We start from the raw sequence: 27022 nt of genomic DNA, 5'->3' as shown, positions 1-27022 counted from the left end.
TAGCGTGATGCTTCCAGCTTTGTTCTTTTGACTTAGGATTGTCTTGGCAATGCGGGCTCTTTTTTGGTTCCATATGAACTTTAAAGTAGTTTTTTCCAGTTCTGTGAAGAAACTCATTGGTAGCTTGATGGGGATGGCATTGAATCTATAAATTACCTTGGGCAGTATGGCCATTTCACAATATTGATTCTTCCTACCCATGAGCATGGAATGTTCTTCTATTTGTTTGTGTCCTCTTTTATTTTGTTGAGCAGTGGTTTGTAATTCTCCTTGAAGAGGTCCTTCACATCCCTTGTAAGTTGGATTCCTAGGTATTTTATTCTCTTTGCAGCAATTGTGAATGGGAGTTCACTCATGATTTGGCTCTCTGTCTGTTATTGGTGTATAAGAATGCTTGTGATTTTTGTACATTGATTTTGTATCCTGAGACTTTGCTGAAGTTGCCTATCAGCTTAAGGAGATTTTGGGCTGAGATGATGGGGTTTTCTAACTATATAATCATGTCATCTGCAAACAGGGACAATTTGACTTCCTTTTTTCCTAATTGAATACCCTTTATTTCTTTCTCCTGCCTGATTGCCCTGGCCAGAACTTCCAACACTATGTTGAATAGGAGTGGTGAGAGATGGCATCCCTGTCTTGTGCCAGTTTTCAAAGAGAATGCTTCCAGTTTTTGCCCATTCAGTATGATATTGACTGTGGGTTTGTCATAAATGGCTCTTATTATTTTGAGATATGTCCCATCAATACCTAATTTATTGAGAGTTTTTAGCATGAAAGGCTCTTGAATTTTGTCGAAAGCCTTTTCTGCATCTATTGAGATAATCATGTGGTTTTTGTCTTTGGTTCTGTTTATATGATGGATTACGTGTATTGATTTGCATATGTTGAACCAGCCTTGCATCCCAGGGATGAAGCCCACTTGATCATGGTGGATAAAATTTTTGATGTACTGCTGCATTCAGTTTGCCAGAACATATACCATTTTTTAAGGGGCAGAGGAAACAATGGTTTGTGTGCCCTTTTGGTTCATAGAACACTTTAAACATAGCCTTCTTTATTTAATTTGTTAATTATTTTAATGATGTAACTGTTCAGGACTTTGACAGTATGATCTAACATAAGGCTCCTCCTGCCCAACCTGTCCTCCTGCCCTCCTACACCCAAGGTAGTCCTTGCCCTAAAGCTTGTGTTCAGCCAGGAGTGGTGGCTCACACCTGTAATCCCAACATTTTGGGAGGCAGAGGCAGGAGGATTGCTTGAGCTCAGGAATTTGAGATTGGGCAACATAGCAAGAACTAATTGCTATTAAACTTAAAAGTTAGCCAGGCGTGGCGGAGCATACTTGTAGTCTCAGCTACTCAGGAGGCTGAGGCAGGAGGATCACTTGAACCTAGGAGATCAAGGCTACAGTGAGCCATAATCGTGACACCACACTACAGCCTGGGCAACAGAATAAGACCCTGTCTCAAAAACAAAAACAGAAAAAGCTTGTGTTTGTTATTCCTTTGCATTTCTTTGGACATGGTTTTACTACATCCACTTACATTCCATTTCTGTTTATTTACTCTCCAGATGATAGGAAGTCCCGTTGTTTCCAGGTTTTTGCTATTTTTGACAGTGCTACTGTGAGCATTCTTGTATGTATCTATAGAATTTACACACACTTAGGAATGAAATTCCTGAGTCTTGTGGAAATAAATGACAACCCACCAAATTAGTCCAGGTAAAGGCTATTTAATTATGCTTGCCATAGCAAAGTGATGGTTTGCCACAGCATCCCCTCTGTTTTCGTGGACACTCAAAGGCAGGCGGAGGAGTGGGAAAGCTTTATACCAGAAGAAGGGAAGGTTTCAGGTATGCCCAGATGAGAGGCTTTTGGTATGGGACATTGCAGACAGACTAACTAGAAGCAGGGCATCTTATGTGATTCATTAGGAGTGCATATTCGACTCTCTCTAATTGGTCTTATATTGGAAAAAGGGAATAAGAATTAGGGAAACTGCCAGTTATTACTCAAATCCTGGCCATCTGGGGCTTGTTTTCACGTGTCCTACTGTGCCCACCGCAGTGTCTGATGCAAAGTTTGTGATTGCCAGATATATGCTGAAACAAATTCATCTACTTTATATTATTACCTGGTTCTTTTGATCCACATATTGATGCTGAAACTGACAGGCAATAACAAGAAATAACCACCAAGTCAGCACTGTAGCCCCTCATCTTTTAGGTCCCTACAGAAACACACTTGAGTCAGGCAAGAAGTGCCCATTTTTCCTTGACTCTTATGAAACTCTCATAACAGCCTCTCTTTGGAAGCATCCGTGGTGTTACTATTTAATGCAGACTTTGAACTTGCCCCTGGACTAGCATCTTCTACGGTTCTTTTCACTGTAGCATTTCTGAGGTATCTACTTTCTGTGAGTGCTTCCAAGAATGGAAGAGAAAGAGAAGAGACCTCTGTGGTCCAGGAGCAAGAATCAGTAAATTACCTTTCTCAGGCCCAGGGTGGCTGCCAACACCACGGAGAAGTCTTCTGTCCCTTTCTCCATCCCTTGCTTTCAACAGGGAAGAGAGTTGAGCTCAAAATTCTAATGGATATCTCATTTAATAAAGGACACTACATTCAGAAGATGGGTTTTTCAACATACACCATATGTGGCTTCACTTTCAGGGGACTTACAGATGTGGTATGAAAGCCACCCCTTGTGAACTCTGTATTTTTTTGTTCTTATAATATTCTTACTTACTTGTGATAGAATATAATTAAAGTAGGGCTAAGCGCAGTGGCTCACGCCTGTAATCCCAAAACTTTGGGAGGCCAAGGCCAACTCACCTGAGGTTGGGAGTTCGAGACCAGCCTGGCCAACAAAGTGAAACCCCATCTCTGCTAAACATACAAAAATTAGCCAGGTGTGGTAGTGGGCACTGGTAATCCCAGCTACTCAGGAGGCAGAGGCGGGAGAATCGCTTGAACCCAGGAGGCGGAGGTGGCAGTCAGCCGAGATCACGCCACTGCACTCCAGCCTGGGCAACAGAGTGAGACTCCATCTCAAAAAAAAAAAGGAAAAAAATATATATATACAAAATTAAAGTGGATATAGTGCCTTAGCAGGTCACAACTTTTACTAATAGATTTATTCCAGTATGGCCACATTAGTATTTTGTGACCATAATCTACCAGAAAGACAATTAACTAGTACTGATGATGAATTTTTTTTAATTTCATTGAACTGTAATTAAATTTTAGTCTGTTAATAGAACCAAAACCAAAATAACCAAGACCTAAATAGCTTTAGGTATTGAATTTCATCTGGCTATAGATGCTGAGGTTAAACTCTGTTAGAAAATTTGAATCTAAGGGTAGAGAGAAAGTGATGAAATAAGATCTCATTGATAGTTTTCTGAATCTTTTTTCTAATTCAGATAGAAGCCAACAAACTTTTACCACTGTGTGAAAACCTGTTAGGAACAGATTATTCATGATTTCTTCTCTTTTCTTTTCTTTTTTTTTTTTTTTGACAGAGTCTCACTCTGTTGCCCAGGCTGGAGTTCAGCGGTATGATCTCAGCTCACTGCAACCCTCACCTCCCAGGTTCAAAGTGATTCTCCTGCCTCAATCTCCCAAGCAGCTGGGACCACAGGCACACACCACCACACCCAGCTAATTTTTTGTATTTTTAGTAGAGATGGGTTTCACCATGTTGACCAGGCTGGTCTCGAAGTCCTGGCCTTAAAAGTCACCCACCTCAGCCTCCCAAAGTGCTGGAATTACAGGTGTGAGCCACTGCACCCAGTTTATTAGTGATTATTCTTTTCTTTCTTTCTTTTTTTTTTTTTTTTGAGATGGAGTCTCGCTTTGTCACACAGGCTGGAGTGCAGTGGTGCCATCTCAGCTCACTGCAACCTCCACCTCCCGGGTTCAAGTGATTCTCCTGCCTCAGCCTCGCAAGTAGCTGGGACTACAGGCACCCATCACCATACCTGGCTAATTTTTGTATTTTTAGTAAAGACAGGGTTTCACCATATTGGTCAGGCTGGTCTCGAACTCCTGAACTCCGCCCGCCTCGGCCTCCCAAAGTGCTTTAATTACAGGCGTGAGCCACCGCACCCAGTCTGTTAGTTATTATTCTAAAGCCATCACAAACAAACATACGGAGTGTTAGTTTTCTAGATTTCATCGCATCTTTCCTTTAGACACATTAGAAGAATGAAAGAAAGAAGGAGATGTCCATGAATCTTTAATGCCAATTTTATGTGGTTAATTGGGAAAATATTGTCTCAGGTTTACAGAAACAGAAAGCAGGAGCAGACATGCAGGATACAGAAACTACAGAAAGGAGGGAAAAGGAATGGAAACAAACATTTCAACAGTAAAATTTCAAGAAAACATAGCATTAAAAATATCCCTCTGTTTTTTTTTGGACTCATACTTTGATTGGTGATTGATAGAGAAGGTTTGTGTTGGTGGTTTTCACGTGCAGGCAGGATCTCAGAGACCAGGGAATGTGGATAAAACTTCTTGTGACTTTCAAATCAGAGAAGCCTGGCAGGAGGGAGAGAAAATTTACCAACAGGACAGTTCGTTACCTGCAGCATCTTCCCAGAGGCCGGGGGCCCGCCTAGCAGCAGCATTGCTTCTGGCAGCAGCCTTTCTGCTGGCAACAGCCCTTCCCACAGCCGCAGCCACATGAGCCGCAGGTGCGGCGGCAGCAGCAGATCACAGGTGTGCTGCAGCAGCCCCCACAGCAGCCGCGGCAGCAGGGGCAGCAGCTGGAGCAGCAGCCCACCCGGTAGCACCTGCAGGTGGTGCAGCTGCCACAGCCACCACCGCAGCCACCACCGCAGCCACCACCGCAGCCACCACAGCCACCACCGCAGCCACCACAACTTCCACAACCACAGCAACCCATGGTGTCAGTAAAGAGGACTCAGGTGAAGTGAGGAAGGAGGACTTGAGAGGTGAGGAGGTCTGATGCCTCCTTCTGCTGGGGGAGGCCCTTATGTACCAACTCTGGGAAGAGGAGAGGGAAGACACATGACCACTTCCTAGTTATTGTTTGGGTCAACTGTCATGGGAGGATCTCATAATATATTATTTACTGCCCTTTGGAATGGGAGCTAGGTTTATGAGATTACTTGTTTTGTTTATTTTCTGAGTCGAATGTCCTAAAAATTCCAGTAAGACCTCCTGAGAGCCATGGGAAAGGGGGTATTATCAACAGTTTTGGACACACTCAGAAAGCCCATATAGTACAACAGCAATGCTTGAATGGATGGTCCAACGTTCGAACAATGAATAAACATTATCAGGAGGCTATTCCTGTATAGTGCCCAGAAATTCTCTTACCAAAGACTGGAGAAATGGCAGGTGTCTCAGGCACATATGTCATTGCCAACTGCAGAAGCAGCCGGATACTCTCACTGGAGATTGTCCCCCTGAGAATGGAAGATTTTGCTCCCCACCACACAGTTATAAAGCCTGGCTCTATGTTTCATTATTCAGTATATTTAACGTTGTGTTGGCCAGGTGTGGTGGCTCATGCCTGTAATCGCAGCATTTTGGGAGACCAAGGCGGGTGGATCACCTGAGGTCAGGAGTTCGAGACCAGCCTGGCCAACATGGTGAACCCCCATCTCTACTAAAAAAAATACAGAAAGTTAGCTGGGCATGGTGGTGCATACCTGTAGTCCCAGCTACTTTGGAGGCTGAGGCAGGAGAATCACTTGAACCTGGGAGGCAGAGGTTGCAGCGAGCCAAGATTGCATCACTATACTCCAGCCTGGGTGACGGAGTGAGACTCTGGCTCAAGAAATAAACAAATAAATAAAATAACATTGTGTGATTGCTTATAAAGCACAAGTAAACCTTCGCAATGATACATCTTTTTTGATACAATTCACATGGCATTTAAAATAAGAAAGCATTTTGTAATTAGAATAAAGTATAAGTTTGGGGGCTTGAAAAGTTTTATCAATTACTGTCCAAGAGGAAAATCTACATGAAACATTATGTGGCTGACAACGGCAAATAGATCAAGAGAAATAAAAGCAAAAAGTTAAAAAAATAAAAGAGAGAGAGAGAATTAAATCCAATACTTTAGAAAAATAAAAGACTGCTTCAGGAAATGTAATTATATAGACTATTTGAGTTGAGCGAGCAATATTTATATTATAATAATCAAGTTACCATTGGTTATAGATATTACAAAAACTAGTAATACAAATATATTAGGAGTGACACAAGAGAGTTAAATCCCCATCCATCTTAACAGAAACTAACATTGGCAATTAAGAAATAAGGGAATTAGCTGGGCAGGGTGGCTCACGCCTGTAATCCCAGCACTTTGGGAGGCCGAGGTGGGCGGATCACGAGGTCAGGGGATCGAGACTATCCTGGCTAACACGGTGAAACCCCGTCTCTACTGAAAATACAAAAAATTAGCCAGGCATGGTGGCGGGCGCCTGTAGTCCCAGCTACTCGGGAGGCTGAGGCAGGAGAATGGCGTGACCCCGGGAGACAGAGCTTGCAGTGAGCCAAGATAGTGCCACTGCACTCCAGCCTGGGTGACAGAGTGAGACTCTGTCTCAAAAACAAAACAAAACAAAACAAAAAAACAAGCAAAAATGTCTTCGGATGTTGCTAAGTGTCTCCTGGGGGCAAAATTGCCCCTCATTGAGATCCACTGCTCTACAGAAATCTAAGGGATTTCTGTAGAAATCCCCACATCATAGCACTGTGGAAAAGGATGCCAGTTTAGGAATAGCCTTTGAAGGCTGCAAAAGGACTTTACATGAAGTTCTTCTTTTCTTTTAATTTTTTGGAGACAATTCCTAGGACATATGATTCTTTTTTTCTTCTTTGAGACCAAGTCTCATTCTGTTGCCCAGGCTGTCGAACCTCTGCCTCCCGGATTCAAGCCATTCTCGTGCCTCAGCCTTCCGCATAGCTGGGACGGCAGACATGAGCCACCACCTGGTTAATTTTTGTATTTTTTGTAGAGACAGGGTTTCACCATGTTAGTCAGGCTGGTCTCAAACTCCTGACCTCAGGTGATCTGCCTGTCTCAGCTTCCCAAAGTGCCGGGATTACAGGCATGAGCTACCACGCCCGGCAGGACGTATGATTCTGAAGGGGCTAAGTACCCAGGGTGGTGAAAGAAGACAAGAGTGAGCCTTGATGAAAACTATGGACTTTGGGTGATTATGATGTCTCACTGTAGGTTCACCAGTTGTAACAAATGTACCACCCTGGCATGGGATGTCAGTAGTGAAGGAGGTTGTGTTGGGGAGGACAGGGAATATATGGGAACTCTGTACTTTCAGCTCAATTATTATTATTATTATATTGCTATTATTTTTTGAGACAGAGTCTCACTCTGTCACCCAGGCTGGAGTGCAGTGGCTCGATCTCGGCTCACTGCAGCCTCTGTCTGTCGAGTTCAAGCAATTCTCTTGCCTCAGCCTCCCAAGTAGCTGGGACTACAGGTGCCCACTACCACGCCCAGCTAATTTTTGTATTTTTTAGTAGAGACGGGGTTTCACCATGTTGACCAGGCTGGCCTGGAACTCCAGACCTCAAGTGATCCACCCACCTCAGCCTCCCAAAGTGCTGGGATTACAGGTGTGAGCCACTGCACCCGGCCCTCAGCTCAATTTAGATGTGAACCAAAAATTGCTCTAAAAAATAAGGTCTTTTAAAAGTTTATGCATTATTTACCCTAAGCTAAGGAAACTGGGTCACATAGGGATCATGGCTTTTTTAGGGACATGAAACCAGCTGGTGGCAGAGGCTCTTAGCTACCTCATCCACTAATCCATGAGTATAGGACAAGAGGGGAACATGAGCCAGTGTGGGAAGCTCACTTTGAAATACACCGTGACCATCAACCCAAGATGGGTATCTTTCCCATATTTTGACTTGTGAATTAACAGCAAAAGTAAGTCTGAAAACAGGTGAGAAAGCCTTCTGAGATGTTAGCCAAGGGACCTTATGACATGTGAAGCTTTGAGTGTTTCCTTCATGAGGGATCTCACCTTCTCTTGCATTCTGCAGACACCACCTGAAAACAGAAAAGCCTTCCTTTAGAGGAGGGGGAAACCAAGGGAAAGATCCTCTCGGCGCCAAGGGATCCTGATTAATGGAAGATAGGAGATGGGCTTTCATCAAATGAGACTCATAGATCACACTTGAAAACTGCTAGGTTAAAACAAGACTAAATATTTAAGAAACAATTAGAAGCATAACCTGAGGAAGAAGTAAATGTGAAAATAAGCAATTTTATGAAGTCAGAGGTGTTCAATGAGGAAATACACTCAGGGTCTTGTGAAATTCCTCCAGGGAAGCTGGAGGAAACAAGGAAGTGGCCACCTGCCACATGTTAGGCCTGGAAGGGGTATTTAAGAGCCCCTGAAGCAAAGAACATCAGACCTCCTCACCTCTGCTGAGTCCTTCCTCGTCACTTCACCTGAGTCCTCTCTACTGACACCATGGGTTGCTGTGGGTGTGGTGGCTGCGGTGGTGGCTGCGGTGGCTGCGGTGGTGGCTGCAGTGGTGGCTGTGGTGGTGGCTGCGGTGGTGGCTGTGGCAGCTGCACCACCTGCAGGTGCTACCGGGTGGGCTGCTGCTCCAGCTGCTGCCCCTGCTGCCGCGGCTGCTGTGGAGGCTGCTGCAGCACGCCCGTGATCTGTTGCTGCCGCCGCACCTGCCACTCATGTGGCTGCGGCTGTGGCTGTGGGAAGGGCTGTTGCCAGCAGAAGGGCTGCTGTCAGCAGAAGGGCTGCTGCAAGAAGCAATGCTGCTGCTAGGCGGGCCAGCCTGGCTCTGCCTCTAGCCTAAGAAACGCTGAGGCTTTGCTCACAGAATTTGGTGAAACTTTCCTTCACCCTTCCTTTCTGCTTCTGTCCTGCCTCATCTGCCTGGATGCGTTGGAACTGCTCATGCTGTCCCTTGTAGTCTGAAGTGTCAGGATTGTTTTTCCTCCTTTGTGGTGGTATGTCTACTTCAATTCCTTCTCCCTGTATCTTCCAAGACTTAACATTATGCTATTATGCTATTGTGCTATTATGCTATTATTCTCCATCATTTTCGTAATCTTGTTTTCTTTTGGAAAAAAAGATAAAAGATTAGCATATGTTATCAACATAAGGGGTGGAAGCACAGCCACCCATGTCAAAAATATATTTGTATTCTGAGCTTAACAAAATAAAATCGTGAGAACTAATATTTCATTTTTTTGAAAAAAATTCTTATGATGGATTTATTGTTGTTTCATATTGCACATTCACTAACTTCTTTCCTGTTTCTGTGTCCCTGTTAAAAAAAAAAAGGCTACTCTTCCTTAATAAAAATAATAATCTCTCCATATTCTCAGGCATCTCTGTGTTCTGTAAGATGTACACCTTGCATTGGTGAGGCCAACAAAGCAAAAGACAACGGGTGATATGTAAAGATTTGGGATGGGTTTCAGTTAGTGGATGCCAGGTCCCATACTATGCTGTAGCAGATTTTACAATAAAGATAAAAAATTAGGAGTAAATTCCAACCTTTGGTCATCAGTGTCACTGACAGAAATTCCTGTGCTCGTCTACACATCTTCCCAGGATGTGGGTCCGTGTTGGGGTCAATGCAGTTTCCCCTTCAGCCTCCAAAGGTTCACTGAAAATCAACTCACAAAAAAGGTACATTCATTACAGAAAAGGCATACACCCAGAATTTTAGGAGGCGGCTGAGGCTGGTGGATGACTTGAGGCCAGGAGTTTGAAACCATCCTGGCCAACACTGTGAAACCCCATCTCTACTAAAAATACAAAAATTAGCTGGGTGTGGTGGCACATGTCTGTAATCCCAGCTACTCGGGAGACTGAGGCACACAAGAATTGCTTGAACTGGGAGACGGAGGTTGCAGTGAGCTGAGATGGCATCACTGCAATCCACCCTGGAAGATTAAAAAAGAAAAAAAAGGTAAAGTCATAGAAATATATTAATGTTTGCACAGGGAGAATCACTGAGTGTACCCACCTCCCAACAGGGTTCAGAAGCTTATACACTGTGGGGGAAAGAAAGATAGATCAGATTGTTACCGTGCCTATATAGAAAAAGGAAGACATAAGAAACTGCATTTTGTTCTGTACTAAGAAAAATTATTCTGCCTTGAGTGCTGTTAATCTGTAACCCTAACCCCAACTCTGTGCTCGCAGAAACATGTGCTGTATTGACTCAAGGTTTAATGGATTTAGGGCTGTGCAGGACGTGCTTTGGTAAAAATGTGTTTGCAGGCAGTATGCTTGGTAAAAGTCATCGCCATTCTCCAGTCTCGAGTACCCAGGGACACCATGCACTGCGGAAGGCCGCAGGGACCTCTGCCCAAGAAAGCCTGGGTATGGTCCAAGGTTTTCCCCACTGAGACAGCCTGAGATATGGCCTCGTGGGAAGGGAAAGACCTGACCATCCCCCAGCCCGACATCCATAAAGGGTCTGTGCTAAGGAGAATTAGTGAAAGAGGAAGGCCTCTGTGCAGTTGAGATATGAGGAAGGCATCTGTCTCCTGCTCATCCCTGGGAATGGAATGTCTCGGTGTAAAACCCGATTGTACATTCTATTTACTGACATAAGAGAAAACACCTTATGGCTGGAGATGAGACATGCTGTTGGCAATACTGCTCTTTACTGCACTGAGATGTTTGTGTAAAGTCAAACATAATTCTGGCCTACGTGCACATCGAGGCACAGCACTTTTCCTTAAACTTATTTATGACACAGAGTCCTTGGCTCATATTTTCCTGCTGACCCTCTCCCCACCATTACCCCATAGTCCTGCCACATCCCCCTCGCCGAGAAGGTAGAGAGAGTGATCAATAAATGCTGAGGGAACTCAGAGACCAGAGCCGGCGCGGGTCCTCCGTATGCTGAGCGCCGGTCCCCTGGGCCCAGTGTTCTTTCTCTATACTTTGTCTCTGTGTCGTATTTCTTTTCTCAGTCTCTCGTCCCACCAAGAGATGAACGAGAAATACCCACAGGTGTGGAGAGGCTGGCCCCCTTCAATCTACCAGCCTGGCTAAACACATTATGGGAGGAGGAAGAAGAGGAATTCTGCTGAAGGACAATAAAGGATCAGGTACTGAGATTAATTTGTAAGTAGTTCTCTTTGACTGTGAGAGGGTCTATTCAAGTGTGGTTACATTCTTACTCTTACAAGGAGGGGAAGGAAAAACCATAGTTCCCCTTGGTGGGTCTAGATCTTAGGCAGACAGAAGACTTCAGCTTCTTCAGAAGAGACCTTGTCGGGGAGATCAGACAGACCCTTAGGCTTCTGCAGTTCGGTATCTCAAGGCACTGTATTTTGTGTTATCGGTTTATGAGCTCCAACATCTGCAACTGATTTATGATTGGGAGTGTTGGATGGTCCCAGTACGGCAGGTCACAGCTTCTCTCCAACTCTCTATGTGTTTTTTACTCATTCACTCAGCAAATATGTGGCTGCTCTATTAGGCCAGTTATCCAGCCAAGATAGAAATCTAAAGATAAGGCCAGGTGCGGTGGCTCACACCTATAATCCCAGCACTTTGGGAGATCGAGGCGGGCAGATCACCTGAGGTCAGGAGTTTGAGACTAGCCTGACTAACATGGTGAAACCCTGTCTCTACTAAAAATACAAAAATTAGCTGGCCGTAGTGGCAGGTGCGTGTAATCCCAGCTACTCGGGAGGCTGAGGCAGGAGAATCCCCTGAACCCAGGAGGCAGAGGTTGCAGTGAGCCAAGATCGACCCATTACACTACAGCCTGGGCAACACAGTGAGACTCCATCTCAAAAAAAAAAAAAAAAAAAAACTAAACAAATATTTGCCTTCAAAGAGTTAACATTTAAGAGTGAAACAGATAAATTAGCCTACTTGCAGTAATCCTAATGTGAGATTTTCTTTGCCTGGCCACCTTTTCTCCACTCCTATATCAACTATTCAAATAGACTTTTTTTTTTTTTTTTTTTTTTTTTTGAGACAGAGTCTCACTCTGTCACCCAGGCTGGAGTGCAGTGGCGTGATCTCGGCTCACTGCAACCTCCACCTCCTGGGTTCAAGCGATTCTTCTGCCTCAGCCTCCCAAGTAGCTGGGATTACAGGGGTGTGCCGCCACGCCTGGCTAATTTTTGCATTTTTCGTAGAGATGGGGTTTCGCCATGTTGGCCAGGCTAGTCTCGAACTCCTGACCTCAGGTGATCTACTCACCTGGGATTACAGGCGTGAGCTACCATGCCTGGCCTTGTATAGGTTTTCATGGACATAATTGCAGCCACATTTTTTAGTAACAGTGCAAGAGGAAGTATAATAGGGAGGTACACAGTGTTGAGCAACTCCCTAATACACTATGGCTCCCTCTCCTACTGTTCTCATTCAGCCTCCCTGTAGGTTCTTTCCCAAGTTGGAGCTCCAAGCCTCAGGCTTAGTCATCTTCTCCATCCTCTTCTCAGTGGGATCCACGGCACTTACCACTTTCTAACACACTATAAAATTCACTAACTCATCATGTTTACTATTTATGTTCCCTCTATATACCCCATCCCAAGCTAGAATGTAAATTACAAGGCAGAGATTTTTAGCTTTGTTCACGAATGTATCCCAAGCACCTAGGACAGTGTCTGGCACATAGTTACTCAATAAATAACTTCTTAATGAACAAATGATTTTTTTTTCTTTTTTGTGTATGGGTTTATTTGAGACAGGGTCTGGCTCTGTCACTCAGGCTGGAGTGCAATGGTGTGATCTCAGCTCATTGCAACCTCCACCTCTTTAGGCTCAAGCCAATCTCCCACTTCAGCCTCCCAAGTAGCTGGGACTACAGACGCATGCTACCACGTCTGGGTAATTTTTGTATTTTTGTAGAGACAGGGTCTCACTGTGTTGCCCAGGCTGGTCTTGAACTCCTGGGCTCAAGCGATGCACCCACCTCGGCTCCCCAAAGTGCTATATTACAGGCATTAGCCACTGTGCCCAGTCAGAATAAATGATTTTAAAACAATTTTGTATTATGGAAAATAAACATATACAAAAATGGAAAATAGTGCAATCAGTTTCTAAGAACTACTGCCCAAGTCAACAATAATCAACACACAGCCAATCTTTTGTCATCTATGACCCCATCCACAGCCTTCTCCCCACACAGTCGTATGGGATCAAACTCAAATGTCATGTCATGTAATCTGCAAATGTGTCATTTATGTTTCTATGCATGAATGAATGAATTCCTCAATATCTCTCTCTGATTTAGACTGTGGCTATGAGATATTAGAGAATCAGAGTAAACTTCTCAAGGTCCAATTTGAACTCATTTTCTTCAAGAGGTGTGAAGGAAATCATGACACCTTCAGCCTTTAAGAAAATTTCACAATATTCTTTGGGAGGACCCAGCAATTTGCAAGGTTGCACAATGAGCAGGGCACTCCTACACCTAAGGTTCAGCTCAGGACTTTTCACAAATCATAGGAAGATGAAAATAGAAAACGCAGAGTCGTAGGACAGAGAACCAAGACACCTCGGGGTGTTTTAATCCATTTCACTTCCACTGGTAGCCCTTAGAAGCCACGCAGTGTTTATCTTTAGGGAGGGTTTTTCAAGTCCACCAAGAGATGAACAGAAATAAAAATATTTTTTCCATTTTAACCAATAAGAACCTTGTAATGCTTTAAAAAAATTCTCTGTTTAATAAGAAGTTTCACTTTAATATATAAACTCTTTGCAGGCTAAGCGTAGTGGCTCATGCCTGTAATCCCAACACTTTGGGCGGGCAAGGCAGGAGGATCCTTTGAGCCCAGGAGTTCAAGACCAGCCTGGGCAAGATAGTGAGACTCTGTCTCTACCAAAAAAAAAAAACAAAAAAATTAATGTGACGTGGTGGCACCCACCTGCAAGCCCAGCTACTTGGGAGGCTGAGGCAGGAGGATCAGTGTGCCTGGGAGATTGAGGTTGCAGTGAGCTGGGGTTGCACCACTGCACTCCAGCCTGGGAGATAAAGTGAGACTTTGTCAAAAAAAAAAAAAAAAGAAAGAAAGAAAGAGAAAAGAAAAGAAAAGAGGCCAGGTGGCCGGGTGCTGTGGCTCACACCTGTAATCCTAGCACTTTGGGAGGCCGAGGCGGGTGGATCACCTGAGGTCAGGAGTTTGAGACCAGCCTGGACAACATGGTGAAACCCCATCTCTACTAAAAATACAAAAATTAGCTGGGTGTGGTGACGGGCGCCTGTAATCCCAGCTACTAGGGAGGCTGAGGCAGAAGAATTGCTGGAACCCGGGAGGTGGAGGTTGCAGTGAGCCAAGATCGTGCCATTGCACTCCAGCCCGGGGCCAACAACAGCGAGGCTCCATCTCAAAAAAAAAAAGAAAGAAAGAAAGAAAGAAAAAAGACCAGGCGCGGTGGCTCACGCCTGTAATCTCAGCACTTTGAGAGGCCGAGGCAGGCGGATCACGAGGCCAGGAGTTCGAGATGAGCCTGGCCAATATGGTGAAACCAAACCCCGTCTCTACTAAAAACACAAAAATTAACTGGGCGTTAATTTTTGGAGGCTGAGGCAGGAGAATCGCTTGAACCCGGGAGGCGGAGGGTTGTAGTGAGCCGAGATCGCGCCACTGCACTCCATCCTGGGCGACAGAGGGAGACTCTGTCTCAAAAAAAAAAAAAAGAAAGAAAGAAAAGAGAAAAGAAAAGAAAAAGAAGAAGAAAAGAAAAAATTGTTTGTATCAGATTTTCAAAGTGCCAGGAAACCATCCCACTCTACCTCCTTTAAAAAAAAAAAGTGCAGAGTGATTATAACCACTGGCTCTGGAGCCAGGAGCCCCAACTAAAACCCAGGCTTCTCTATTTACTAGGCCTACTTCCTTCCGCCTCACTTTCTTCATGTGTAGAGTGGGGGTGACAGCCAGCCAGCCCTCTCTCCTAAGCTTTTGGAGAGAAATAAATGGATTCATAAGAAAGGACATATTTGTAAATAAAGCAAACGATCGCTGTTGGATTCAGGCCCTCTTGCTTCATTATGCTGAATGTCAGTGTATTACTTAAGTTGTTCCTTTCAGCAGAGTTGACTGTTTCTGCCCAGAAAACCGGCCCTGGGCCAGGAAAATCTGGGCTTCCACACTGGGATGAAAGGTCTGGACGCCCGGATTCGCATATGCAAAGCGTGGGGGCGTGGCCCCGGGCTCCGGGCCAGGCAGGCTCCGCCCCCTTCCCACCAAGAGCGCCTGGATCCATCCGACAGCCGCGGGTGCGTGGTCGTGCGGCAAGTGAGCGATTTGGTGAACAGACACTCCCTTCTGTAGGTAAGAATATCTCGGGGGGCGAATTAATTGAAGAAGCACCGTCATCCCTCGGTCTTAGCAGTGTCGCCTCTCTCTTCCCGGGTTTGGAGAGCTGGGGGCGGGTTCCTGGCTCTGCGGGCCTGGGCTACACTCTGAGCCGCGTGAGGAGCTCTCCCCCTACGCCGCAGCCCGCGTGCTGGGATTCACCCAAGTGGGTTTGTCTGGAATTCCCATTTGCAGCCTTCTGGAAGCGCAGATTAAATAAAATCATGATTCCCGTAAAGTGCCAGCACCTCCTATGGTTACATCCCACGTTCACAGATTTTAACTGAAAAGGCATTTTAGCATAGAATTCCAAATTCCAATCCAAGGATGGAGAAAAGGTCCTTCCTAGTGGGAAAAAGGAAGGTGAGTTTGAATTTAAGAGAGCAGGGGCTTTTTTGGGAACCACTTGAAATTTAGTTAATTGAAACTAAAAGAAAACGCAACTACACCTTACAAAAACACTGCTGGAAAGGATACCTAAGTCATCAAATAATAAATAGTGTGACAGCTGTTTACCAAATCAATGTCGCTGCCGCAAATGTGCAAAAGGTTGGGACTTTCGGAGTGCTTCAAGTTTGAAAAAGGTAAAGGAATAATGTTTTCTAAAAGTACTCTCAGGCCAGGCGCAGTGGCTCACGCCTGTAATCCCAGCACTTTGGGAGGCTGAGCGGGGCGGATTGCTTGAGGTCAGGAATTCGAGACCAGCTTGGCCCTGGGATGAAACCCCGTCTCTACTAAAAAGGCAAAAATTAGCCGGGCATGGTGGCGGGTGCCTGTAATCCCAGCTACACTGGAGGCTGAGGCTGAAGAATGGCTTGAACTTGGGAGGCGAAGGTTGCAGTGAGCCAAGATTGCACCACTGCACTCCAGCCTGGGCGACCCAGCAAGATTCTGCCTCAAAAAAAAAAAAAAAAAAAAAAAAAAAGCACTCTCATGTGTTTTGCTCCTATCAATATTGAAACATTGGTGTCTCCTGTGGCAAAAGGTGTTTTTTTCATCGAGGCACATATATTAAATAGACCAAAACATAACTTCCCAAATATCTTATAAGATTATCCTAGTAGTAGCTGAAATGGACAAAAATACCAATTTCCTTCAGTCATTATTGCTAATAGACCAACAACACTCTTTTAAGGTTGTGTAATGGTAAATGCATACACATTTATTTAACATGCACACAGGGAGAATCAGAGTGATTGATTACCCACCCTGCAACATGTCTCAGAAGCTTATAGACTACCCTGGCAAATGAGGTTACGGGAGGGAGCCGAAGAGCATCCAGCAGAAGTGGATGGGCTTCTGCTAGGGAGCATGAATGGGTCAGGGGAGAGAATAAGCTACATTATCTTGTGAATGGGTCTGTTCAGGTGTGGGGTATATTCTTGGTCTTACAGGGAAGGGAAAAGAAACAGTTGTTCCTTTTGGTGGGTCTGGATCTTAGGCAGACAAAGGTTTTTTTGAGCTGGGAGCCGGGAAGGTCAGAGAGACCTTGAGGTCTCCAGCATGTCAAAGCCCCATATTTTGGGGTATCGGCTTCTGAGTCCCGGCACTTATTAGTGACGAAACTGATGAGTCTGTAGTAGCCAGATCAAAGAAGAACCCAAAGAATGGGTACATTCGTAGATCAGGAATATTGAATAATGAAATATAGATCAGGAATATTGAAACTGGTTTTCCATGGGGGAAAGGAAGACTGTTGTCCTTCATGGGATAAACCTTATTTGCATGTCTATAGACAATAATTACTTAACATTGCCATCAGTTGTTAAAATTTACAGAGTTGTAAAATAGCTCAAATGACCTCTAATTTTTCTTTAATCCAGTTTTTTCCCTACAACACCACCTTCTCTCAGTGCATTTAATCAGAAACTTTCACTGCATCTCAAGGATTAGATGTCAGCTGACTTTCCTTTTTTGTTTTGTTTTGTTTGGGGTTTTTGAAATTTTTTTTTTTTTTTTTTTTTTTTGAGACGGAGTCTCGCTCTTGTTGCCCAGGCTGGAGTGCAGTGGCTGGGATCTCGGCTCACCGCAGCCTTGACTTTCCCTGTTCAAGCAATCTTCCCACTTCAGTCTCCCAACTACCTGGCACTATAGGCACACACCACCATGCCTAGCTAATTTTTGTATTTTTTATAGAGGTGAGGTCTCGCTATTTTGCCCAGGCTGGGCTCAGTTGACTTTCTAAGCCGTTTTATGTTTTTCTTAGTTTTATGGTTTTCTTAGGCATATTCCTCCTGCTCTCCCTAAGACTAGATTGATCTGAACATAGACATAACAGAATAAACAGAATTTGGAAGGAAATGATTAATTTACCAGCAAACACCTCATGCAAATTAAAAGGAATGGTACCATATATGATAAAATAAAATCTGAAGCATCTTAAAGATCACTTGGGCTGGGTGCGGTGGCTCACACCTGTAATCCCAGCACTTTGGGAGGCCAAGGCAGGCGGATTTCTTGAGGCCAGGAGTTCAAGAGTAGCCTGGCCAACATGGCAAAGCCCCATCTTTACTAAAAATAAAATTTTAAAAATATCACTTGTTTCTGCTCTTACAAAAACAAACAACAGAACTATTCTGGCCCACATACTGAATATCTGGGTCTAGTTTACGTCTTTGGAAGTTGTGTGGCATGCTTTATTTCAGCAAAGATTTTTTTTTGGGGGGGGTGTGGGGTTTGACATAAAGGATTATAGATGGGTGATAAGGCTACTTTGTAGTTTTTTGAGAGTCTAGGTCACTTAGCACAAAATTCTATAGAAGCTAAATTAGGTGACTTTAGTAAGAATAGTCAGGGCAAGGCCAGGCACGGCGGCTCACACCTGTAATCCCAGCACTTTGAGTGGCTGAGGCGGGTGGAGCACTTGAGGTCAGGAGTTCAAAACCAGCCTGACCAACAAGGCAAAACCCTGTCTCTACTAAAAATACAAAAATTAGCCAGGCCTGGTGGCGGGTGCCTGTGGTCTCAGCTACTCAGGAGACTGAGGTGGGAGAATCGCTTGAACCCAGGAGGCAGTGGTTGCGGTGAGTGGGGAGATTGTGCCACTACACTCCAGACTCCAGCCTGGGTGACAGAGGGAGACTCTGTCTCAAAAAAAAAAAAAAAAAAAAAAAGAATAGTCAGGGAAAGGTGTTATTCATGTATTTATCTCTCTAATCACTTGTATTTCAGAAAGATCTGGATCTGGGTGTCTGCTTTTTTTTTTTTTTTTTTTTGGATGGGATTTCAAATGTCATCGGCTGCAGAAGAGGGTGGGCCCCAGTACATAAAGCCACCAGAAGTGGATGGGCTTCTGCGTATAAAGCTATTGCTCTTGGCAGCTCTGTCTGAAGGAGGAGGACAAGAGACTCCAGGGTATGGAAAGGGATTTTCATAGTGGCGGGCAGCAGGAAGGAGCAGAAGTTGGACCTGAAGGCAGGAAGCCAGCTTGGTTCTAGAAAGAAAGAAACTGGGGGCACAGAAAAAAACAGGTAACTCAAGGGATCCTCCTGCCTCAGCTTCTGAGATTCAGATTCTATCTGTATTAACTGAAAAATGTTATATGTGGCCAGACTTACAAGGTTTATTGCCCTGTCCTAGCTTTGCGTTACGGGCACTGTTTTCATCAGAAATGTTCTGGGACAGACTCAGTTTCAAAGATCCTGTTCAGTTTTCCTATTATACGGAGGCCTTGCCCTGATGTGGACTTTAAATTTAAAATAGTCATTGCACCCCTAGAAAAGTCCAGAGCTACAGAGAGTTGTACACAGTAAAATGCTTTGGAGGAGGGAGAATAGGATGCATTTCTTTAAGTTGAGGTATAATCTACATACAAACAAAGATTTTAAGTGTTTATAATTGTATACACCCACATAACTATATCCCATCAAGATATAGGATATTTCATCAACCCAGAAAATTGCCTCCTGCCCTTTTACCATCAATTCTTACCCACCCCCACCTCCAAGATGACCGTAGTTGTGATTTCTATCAGCATGAAGTAGTTTCGGTTGTTTTGGACCTGGCGTAAATGAAATCTTCATGCTATGTCCTTTTTGTATCTGGATTCTTGTACACAGGATAATGTTTGAGACTGCTTTATTTTCTTCCGTGTATCAGTGATTTGTTTTGTTGTTTTTTTTTCAAATCATCTTTGTTGAAGTACATCTTTTTTTTCTTAATCTGTTTTCTGTTGCTTATAACAATACCTGAACGTGGGAAATTTAGAAAGAAAAGAGCTTTATTTCTTACAGTTATGGAGGCTGGGAAGTCCAAGGTTTAGGGGGCACTTCTTTCTAATATGGACTCTAAAGAATCCCAAGGTGGCGCAGGTATCACATGGTCAGAGGGCTAAGGCTGCAAGCTCAGGGCTTTCTCTTAGAAAACCACCAGTTCCCCTCCCATGATGACCCATTAATACATTAACCTTTGACTCCATTAATTCATGAATGAGCTAATTCATTCATGAGCACAGAGCCCTTATGATCTAATCACTCTTGAAAAGCCCCACCCCCTCTTTTTTTTTTTTTTTTTTTTTTACAACAGGGTCTCACTGTCCAGCCCAACCTGGAATGCAATGGTGCAATCATGGCTCACTGCAGCCTTGATATCCTGGGCTCAAGGGATTTTCCTGCCTCAGCTTCTCAGTAGCTAGGACTACAGGCATATACCACCATGCCCAGTCATTTACTTAATTTTTTTGTAGAACCGTGTTCTTGCTATCTTGACCAGTCTGATCTTGAACTCCCGGCCTCAAGCAATCCTGCCTCAGCCTCTCAAAGTGCTGGGATTATAGGTGTGAGCCACTGCACCCAGCCTGGGATTAAGATTTAACATGAGTTTTGAAGAGGACAGATATTCAAACCCTAGCAGTGTGGTTTACAAATAAGAAAATGTATATTATAAGTGTATAGTATGAATGCATGAGTTTGGACAAATGTTTGTAATCATCACCACAATCAAGGTGTAGAGTGTTTTGGTCACCCCAGGAAGTTCCCCTGCGCTCTATTGCAGTCACTCTCTTCCCTACCTCCCACCCCAGGCAACCACCAATCCGATTTCCATCACTACAGATAAGTTTTGCTTGTTTTAGGACTTTATATGTTAATGAAATCATACATTTTTTTGTGTCTGGATTCCTTGGCACAGCAAATTTTTCTTTTTATGTTCATTCACGTATTTGCAGTAGTTCACTCCTTTTTATTGCTAATTAGTATTGGTTGCCAAAATTTATCATTATTTATTCATTCCCCATTTAATGGACATTTAGTTGCTTCTCATTTTTTCACAAATATAAATATATGAACATTCTTGGATAGATTGCCAAATGATTTTCCAAAGGGTTGGTGCCATTTTACATTCGAACAAGCAATGTATATGGATTCACTTGCTGTAAATCTTTGCCAACATTTGGTATGCTGGCCTCTGTAGCCATTCTAGTGCTAGTTTTCTCTCCTAGTCTTAACTTAGGATTTCTGATTACTTATGTTGAGTATCTTTGCATGTGCTCTTGGCCAACCACATCTTTTGCAAAGTATTTAAATCTTTTGTTCATCTATTCTTATTGAGTTACAGGGGTTCTTTATTTTGGAGACAATTCTTTTATCAGATATTGCTTTTAAGACTATTTTCTCTTCAGTCTGTGGCTTCCCTTTCTAATTTCTTTGCCTTTGTGTGTGTGTGTCTGTGTGTGGTATTTTTTTGTACAGACAAAAAAAGGTGTTGTCCAGGCTGGTCTTGAACTCCCAGGCTCAAGTGACCCTCCTGCTTCAGCTTCCCAAAGTGCTGGGATTACAGTCGTGAGCCACTGCACCTGGTCCCTTGCCAGTTTCTTAACAGTACCTCTTGAGAAGCAGATGTGGCTTTTTTTTTTTTTTTTTTTTTTTTTTTGGAGACAGAGTTTCATTCTGTCGCCCAGGCTGGAGTGCAATAGCGGGATCTCGGCTCACTACAACCTCCACCTCCTGGGTTCAAGCGATTCTTCTACCTCAGCCTCCCGAGTAGCTGGGATTACAGGCTTGTGCCACCACGCCTGGGTAATTTTTGTATTTTTAGTAGAGACGGGGTTTCGCCATGTTGGCCAGGATGGTCTCAAACTCCTGACCTCAAGTAATCCACCTACCTCGGCCTCCCAAAATGCTGGGACTATAGGCATGAGCCACGGTGCCCAGCCTCCTTTCCATTCAGTTTCTTAACAGTACCTCTTGATAAGCAGATGTGGCTTTTTGATGAAATGCAATTTATCTTTTTTTTCTTTTAAGATTCTTTTTATTATTTCAAATATGTGCCAGTCCCTAGGTAACGAAGATCTGTTTCCTTCTGGATGGCATGCTGTGGTGTTAGTATTTGTTATGTCAAATTAGTTTTTGTGTATGGAGTGAGGCAGTGATCAGTAAGATGCATTTCAAGTAAGATGAAGTTACAGCCAGAATACAATAACTCCCTAGAAGTTGGTGGAACCACCTTCCAATTTTTATTTTATTTTATTATTTTATTTTATTTTATTTTATTTTATTTTTTTGAGACAGAGTCTCGCTCTGTCACCCAGGCCACAATGCAGTGGCACTATCTTGGCTTACTGCAGCCTCCACCTCCTGGGTTCAAGAGATTCTTGTGCCTCAGCCTCCCAAGTAGCTGGGAGTATAGGAACCCACCACCATGCCCAGCTAATTCTTTTGTATTTGTATTAGAGACGGGGTTTCACCATTTTGGCCAGGCTGGTCTCGAACTCCTGACCTGAGGTGATCTGCCTGTCTCAGCCTCCCAAAATGCTGGGATTAAAGGCGGGAGCCACCGCGCCTGGCCACCACCCACTAATTCTGACTGCAGCAGAACGACGGTGGTTAAGCAAGACCCTGGAATCCTTTCCCCTGCCTTCCTTCAGGACCATCTTGCCCTGACTTAAGCTGACTGCAGCCCTTTGCTTTATTTGAATGTTTTACTGAAAGTTATATTCTCTTCTATTTTAGTAATAAGCAGATTAAAAGGCATAATTAGTTTGTCTGCTCTGATATGTCAGCTAAAAGCAAATATTTTTGTTTTTAGTAATCAGACTTTGAGTTTGCTCTGTCTAGGGAAGGGCTTGACTCTAGCAGTGTTGAAAGCCTGGGAGGTGGGCTTTTTGGAAACTGTAACTGATATAACATAAAATGTATTTGGTCTTTAAGCTAAAACTTTTGGGAATTCCTGAGTAACAGGTGTCTTTTTATTCATAATGACCCTCTTTGATAACGTGTTTATGCTAATAAGATAGCTTGGAGTGGGGTCCATAGATAGTCTAAAAACTGGGGGGGAAGGAGCTGAAGATCATGCTCTGTAAGATTCGTTTTTCTTTTTTTTAATATTTAAAGAGATGGGGTCTCTATGTTGCCCAGGCGGGTCTTGAACTGGCTAATTTTTATATTTTTAGTACAGACCGAGTTTTGCCATGTTGGCCAGGCTGGTCTCGAACTCCTAACTTCAGGTGATCCACCCGTCTCGGCCTCCCAAAGTGCTGGGATTACAGGTGTAAGCCACCGCACCCAGCCTTATTTTGTATTTTTGTAGAGATGGAGTCTGGCAAACATATAATTACCAATTTATTGCTCTTCTGTTTGAAAGAAGTGTTTTGACTGCAGTAAAGTTCTAGCCTATTGTGAAAATCAGGCTAGCCCATTTCTCAGATGGCTGCCTGGCTAGACACCCTCTCTGAGATGGCTGGAATGATTAGTAGAAAGGAGTGGGCAGGAAGTAGGTGGAGAGTGGGGATTCTAGATCAGGGGTCCTATGGCCTGTTAAGAACGGGCCATTACAGCAGGAGGTGAGTGGCGGGCAAGCAAGCATTACCACCTGAGCTCCGTCTCCCGTCAGATCAGTGGCGGCATTAGATTCTCCTGGAAGTGCAAATCCTACTGTGAACTGTGCATGCAAGGGATCTAGGTTACGAGCTCCTTGTGAGAATCTAATGCCTGATGATCTGAGATGGAACAGTTTCATCCCAAAACCATTCCCCCTAACTCCTCCCCCATTTTTTCATGGAAAAATTGTCTTCCATGAAACGGGTTCCTGGTGCCAGGAAGGTTGGGTACCACTATTGTAGATAATTTCCTTCCAAATTACTGGCATCTGGGTTAATTCTGGCAGTATTGTCAGTACAACATGGACGAGGACTTGATAAAGTGATTTCTTTCCACCCACCCAATATCTTGTTCTTCTCCAGGCAGTCAGTTGTGGGAAACTTATCAGGTTTGAGGGAGTTACTTGCTTTCATCAGGTCACCTTGTCCCCTACCTCAGGGAGCCCCACAGCTCTGAGTGCTTTGGCTGTGGGAGAATTCCATCCTCTGGGTGTGCAAGTGGGTGTGTATGGGTGGAGGAATCTGACCAAATAAGGCTTTACCTTAGCTAGAAAATCACCCTGGCTTCAGGAAACCCACCAGTGCATGCCAGCTTTGCAGTTCTTTTGTTGTTGTTGTTTTTGGGACAGAGTCTCGCTCTGTCACCCAGGCTGGAGTGCATTTGCTCAATCTTGGCATTTGCAACCTCCACTTCCCAGGTACAAGTGATTCTCGTGCCTCAGTCTGCCAAGTAGCTGGAATTACAGGTGCCCGCCACCATGCCTGGCTAATTTTTGCATTTTTTAGTTTGAGACGGGGTTTCACCAATGTTGGCCAGGCTGATCTTGAACTCCTGACCTCAAGTCATCCACCCGCCTCAGCCTCCCAAAGTGCTGGGATTACAGGCATGAGGCACAGTGCCCGGCCTCAGTTTCTGCAGTTCTTGCTTTTTAACAGTTGTTTACCCTACAAAAATGGAAAATATACTTGGAAATATTTGTGGACATAGGGCTTTTAAGTATATGCACTTAGAGATAGATACAGACAACCTATGGATTAGGAAATAGGACACTATCCATGTCTGAAATTTAAATAAGGTCCAAATTAGCTTAGATCCAATATGATTCCCCAATGCATATATGAACAATACGTGAACATTGTTGTGTGCACAACTATGGAAAGGTCTTAATCCGCACAGTGACTCTGAGATAAGACTCACTGAAGGAAATACAGCAGCAAACCCAGGAGATGTGAGTTCCAATCTTCATTTGTAACTCACTCCAAATGAGATCCTAGCAATGAAGTAATTTTTTTTTGTTTCCCACTAAAAACAAATAAACAAAAACCTTAGTTTTTCTATGCTACAGAATTAGGATGACAAATGAACTTATCTTGCAGTCACTATAAGAACACTGACAGTTTCAGAGATAGTATTAAAAATCAACTAAACACTTATAATTATTGTGAAAGCATTTATCTATCAAAGAAGGTTAGCCTGCAGCCAGTTGGAAAGTTTTTTTTGTTGTTTTTTTGGTTTGTTTGTTTGTTTGTTTGTTTGTTTGTTTGATAGAGACAGGGTCTCACTATGTTGCCAGGCTCTCCTGGGCTCAAGCAATCCTCCCGCCTCAGCCTCCCAAAATGCTGGGATTACAGGCATGAGCCACCGTGTCCGGCTGCCAGGTGGAAAGAACAATTTAAGGAGATGGTTAAAAGTGGAAAAGCCAATAACATGGTAATAATTGAAATAAAAGAAGAAAGAAAAAATTGAACTCTGATACAAAGAGACTACAACTGTGTAATAGGTTGCATAAAAAGAAATTTTGCAAACATGTAATAGGTTGCAAGGCAGATAAAAACAAAAATCATGAGAAGCCACTCCTGCCAAATTCATTCATAGTCAAAATACAAGTTAACTTTTGTGGGAGATTAAAAAAAAGAAAACTAAGAGCATTTTAAAATGAAGTAGGATTAGGTATGCTAGCAAGAGAGTTTTTTTCAAAAGGCTGTGGCACCCCACGTACCCCAAAGAAGGGGAGCCAGCAGTAAACAATGTGGCCTTATGTGGAATACATGGCAATGGGCTCCAAATACAGATTCAGGCTGGGCGCGGTGGCTCACATGTGTAATCCTGGCACTTTGGGAGGCCAAGGCAAGTGGATCACCTGAGGTCAGGAGTTCAACACCAGCCTGGCCAACATGGTGAAATCCCGTCTCTACTAAAAATACAAAAAACTAGCCAGGCATGGTGGCAGGCACCTGTAATCTCAACTACTTGGGAGGCTGAAGCAGGAGAATTGCTTGAACCTGGGAGGCAGAGGTTGTAGTGAGCTGAAATTGCACCACTGGACTCCAGCCTGGGCAATAGAGTGAGACTCTGTCTCAAAAAAAATAGAGATTGAGAGAAGCTGGAGGCCAAACAGTAGAGAACTGAAGCATCCCTTGGTGGGACAGCTGTGGCTTTTTTCATAATATGAAAAATAATTATTTCCATTATTTTTTAAATTTGTTTTTTTTTATTATATTTTATTTTATTGTATATTTTTTGAGAACAGGGTCTTGCTCCGTTGCCCGGCTGGAGTGCAGTGGCACCATCTCAGCTCATTGCAACCTCCGCCTTCAGGTCTTCAGTGATCCTCCCACCTCAGCCTCCCAGGTAGCTGGGATTACAGGTGCGCATCACCATGCCTGGCTAACTTTGTATTTTTGTAGAGACAGGGTTTCACCGTGTCGCTCAGGCTAGTCTCGAACACCTGAGCTCAAGCGATCCACCTGACTTGGCCTCCCACAGTGGTAGTATTACAGGCATAAGCCACCGCGCCTGGCTGAAAAATAATTATTTTTCTACCAGCAAAAGAAGAAAGGAACCCATCAGTTCCAAGGCAACTGAAGTGACCACTTGCAATGCAAAGGTGTTGGCTCATTCAAAGTCAAAGATGTTGGCTGGATCAGCGCCTCTGTGTATCCCCACAGTGTCTGTGGCCATTTTCTTCAGGGCTCATGTGGTGTGCTGCAACAGGGTCAGGGGACAAGTGCACTCTGGTCTGCCGTGCAGGTGCAGCAGGGAGACCCGCCCAGGGTCACTGTAGCTCTGGAGTGGAGCAAAGGCCAAAGCTCAGGGTTCACCTCCTCAATCTGCTGTTGTAGCTAACACTGTGCCACTGTAAACTCTCTCCTGTGCGTCCAAGTCCACCAAGGTAAGGTCTGTTGTGGATTTAGCTGCTCTGAGTCTCTGCTAAAAAGAGCAGCTGATGAATTGACTCTTTCTTTCTACTTTCAGCATCTTCACTGCATGTTTCAAATCGTGAGAGCCTGATAGGCTGACTTTTGTTTAGGGAATGTGCCTTTTGTTGTTGTTATTAACACAGTCGTTCTCTGTTGCCCAGGTTGGGGTGCAGTGGCATGATCTCCACTCACTGCAACCTCCATCTCCCGGGTTCAAGTGATTCTCCTGCCTCAGCCACCCAAGTAGCTGGGATTACAGGCACCCACCACCGCAACCGACTAATTTTTGCGTTATTAGTAGAGATGGGGTTTCACTCTGTTGGCCAGGCTAGTCTTGAACTCCTGACCTCAGGTGATCCACCTGCCTCAGCCTCCCAAAGCGCTGGGATTACAAGCATGAGCCACTACACCCAGCCTTTTAAAATTTTTAATCTACCGTTTACACAGTGTTCTTGTACCTTTTTAAAAAGTGATAGAGCTTATAATAATGGGTGAAGATGACTGCTACAGGAGTAACTTTTAAAAGGACTATCTTGTGATTTGGAACACACAGAAAATGAAGGGGAAAGGTAAACATCTGGCTTTCACAGGTATGAACTCAGAAAATCAAGTCAATTCATGTCCTCACCTTAGAAGCAGTGGAAGCAAAGGGACGTTTAGAGCACTTTTTTAGAGGCGG

The 27022-nt window shown here is 44.0% G+C and overlaps 3 protein-coding genes across 8 annotated transcripts in view, besides 1 other annotated feature; 2 read left to right on the top strand and 1 right to left on the bottom strand.

Annotated features, from left to right (window-relative positions):
* Nucleotides 1-4622: 4622 nt before the first annotated feature.
* On the bottom strand, nucleotides 4623-4913 carry SCYGR7 (small cysteine and glycine repeat containing 7). Its single transcript, NM_001395408.1, has one exon. The coding sequence runs from the start codon at nucleotides 4911-4913 to the stop codon at nucleotides 4623-4625; it is 291 nt and encodes a 96-aa protein (NP_001382337.1).
* A 3577-nt stretch (nucleotides 4914-8490) lies between these two features.
* SCYGR6 (small cysteine and glycine repeat containing 6) lies at nucleotides 8491-8808 on the top strand. The gene has a single exon (NM_001395407.1). It carries the CDS (start codon nucleotides 8491-8493, stop codon nucleotides 8806-8808), a length of 318 nt encoding a protein of 105 aa, NP_001382336.1.
* Nucleotides 14803-15689: an enhancer, noted in NCBI's record as "H3K4me1 hESC enhancer chr2:228582275-228583161 (GRCh37/hg19 assembly coordinates)". NCBI's record gives its function as "activates a minimal SCP1, AML or CMV promoter by ChIP-STARR-seq in naive H9 embryonic stem cells {active_cell/tissue: H9 hESC(naive)}" and the evidence as "EXISTENCE:reporter gene assay evidence [ECO:0000049][PMID:30033119]".
* The window catches only part of SLC19A3 (solute carrier family 19 member 3), a 34266-nt gene continuing 22463 nt past the window's right edge, over nucleotides 15220-27022 (top strand). For 2 of the 6 annotated variants that reach the window (NM_025243.4, NM_001371413.1), the window contains exon 1: nucleotides 15220-15305. Coding sequence is in view for 1 of the 6 variants with exons in the window: in XM_047445927.1 (XP_047301883.1) it covers nucleotides 26900-26933 (34 nt within the window). In the remaining 5 variants the exon portion in view is untranslated. Of the gene's footprint in view, nucleotides 15306-18623; nucleotides 18800-26468; nucleotides 26934-27022 lie in introns of those variants that run through there. The other 4 variants (XM_047445927.1, NM_001371411.1, NM_001371414.1 and 1 more) reach the window with 4 other exon arrangements.

The sequence above is a fragment of the Homo sapiens genome, chromosome 2 (genome assembly GCF_000001405.40).
Source record: "Homo sapiens chromosome 2, GRCh38.p14 Primary Assembly".
Taxonomy (NCBI): domain Eukaryota; kingdom Metazoa; phylum Chordata; class Mammalia; order Primates; family Hominidae; genus Homo; species Homo sapiens.
Note: the sequence above shows the minus strand (reverse complement) of the source record. Positions and strands in the feature narration are given on the sequence as shown.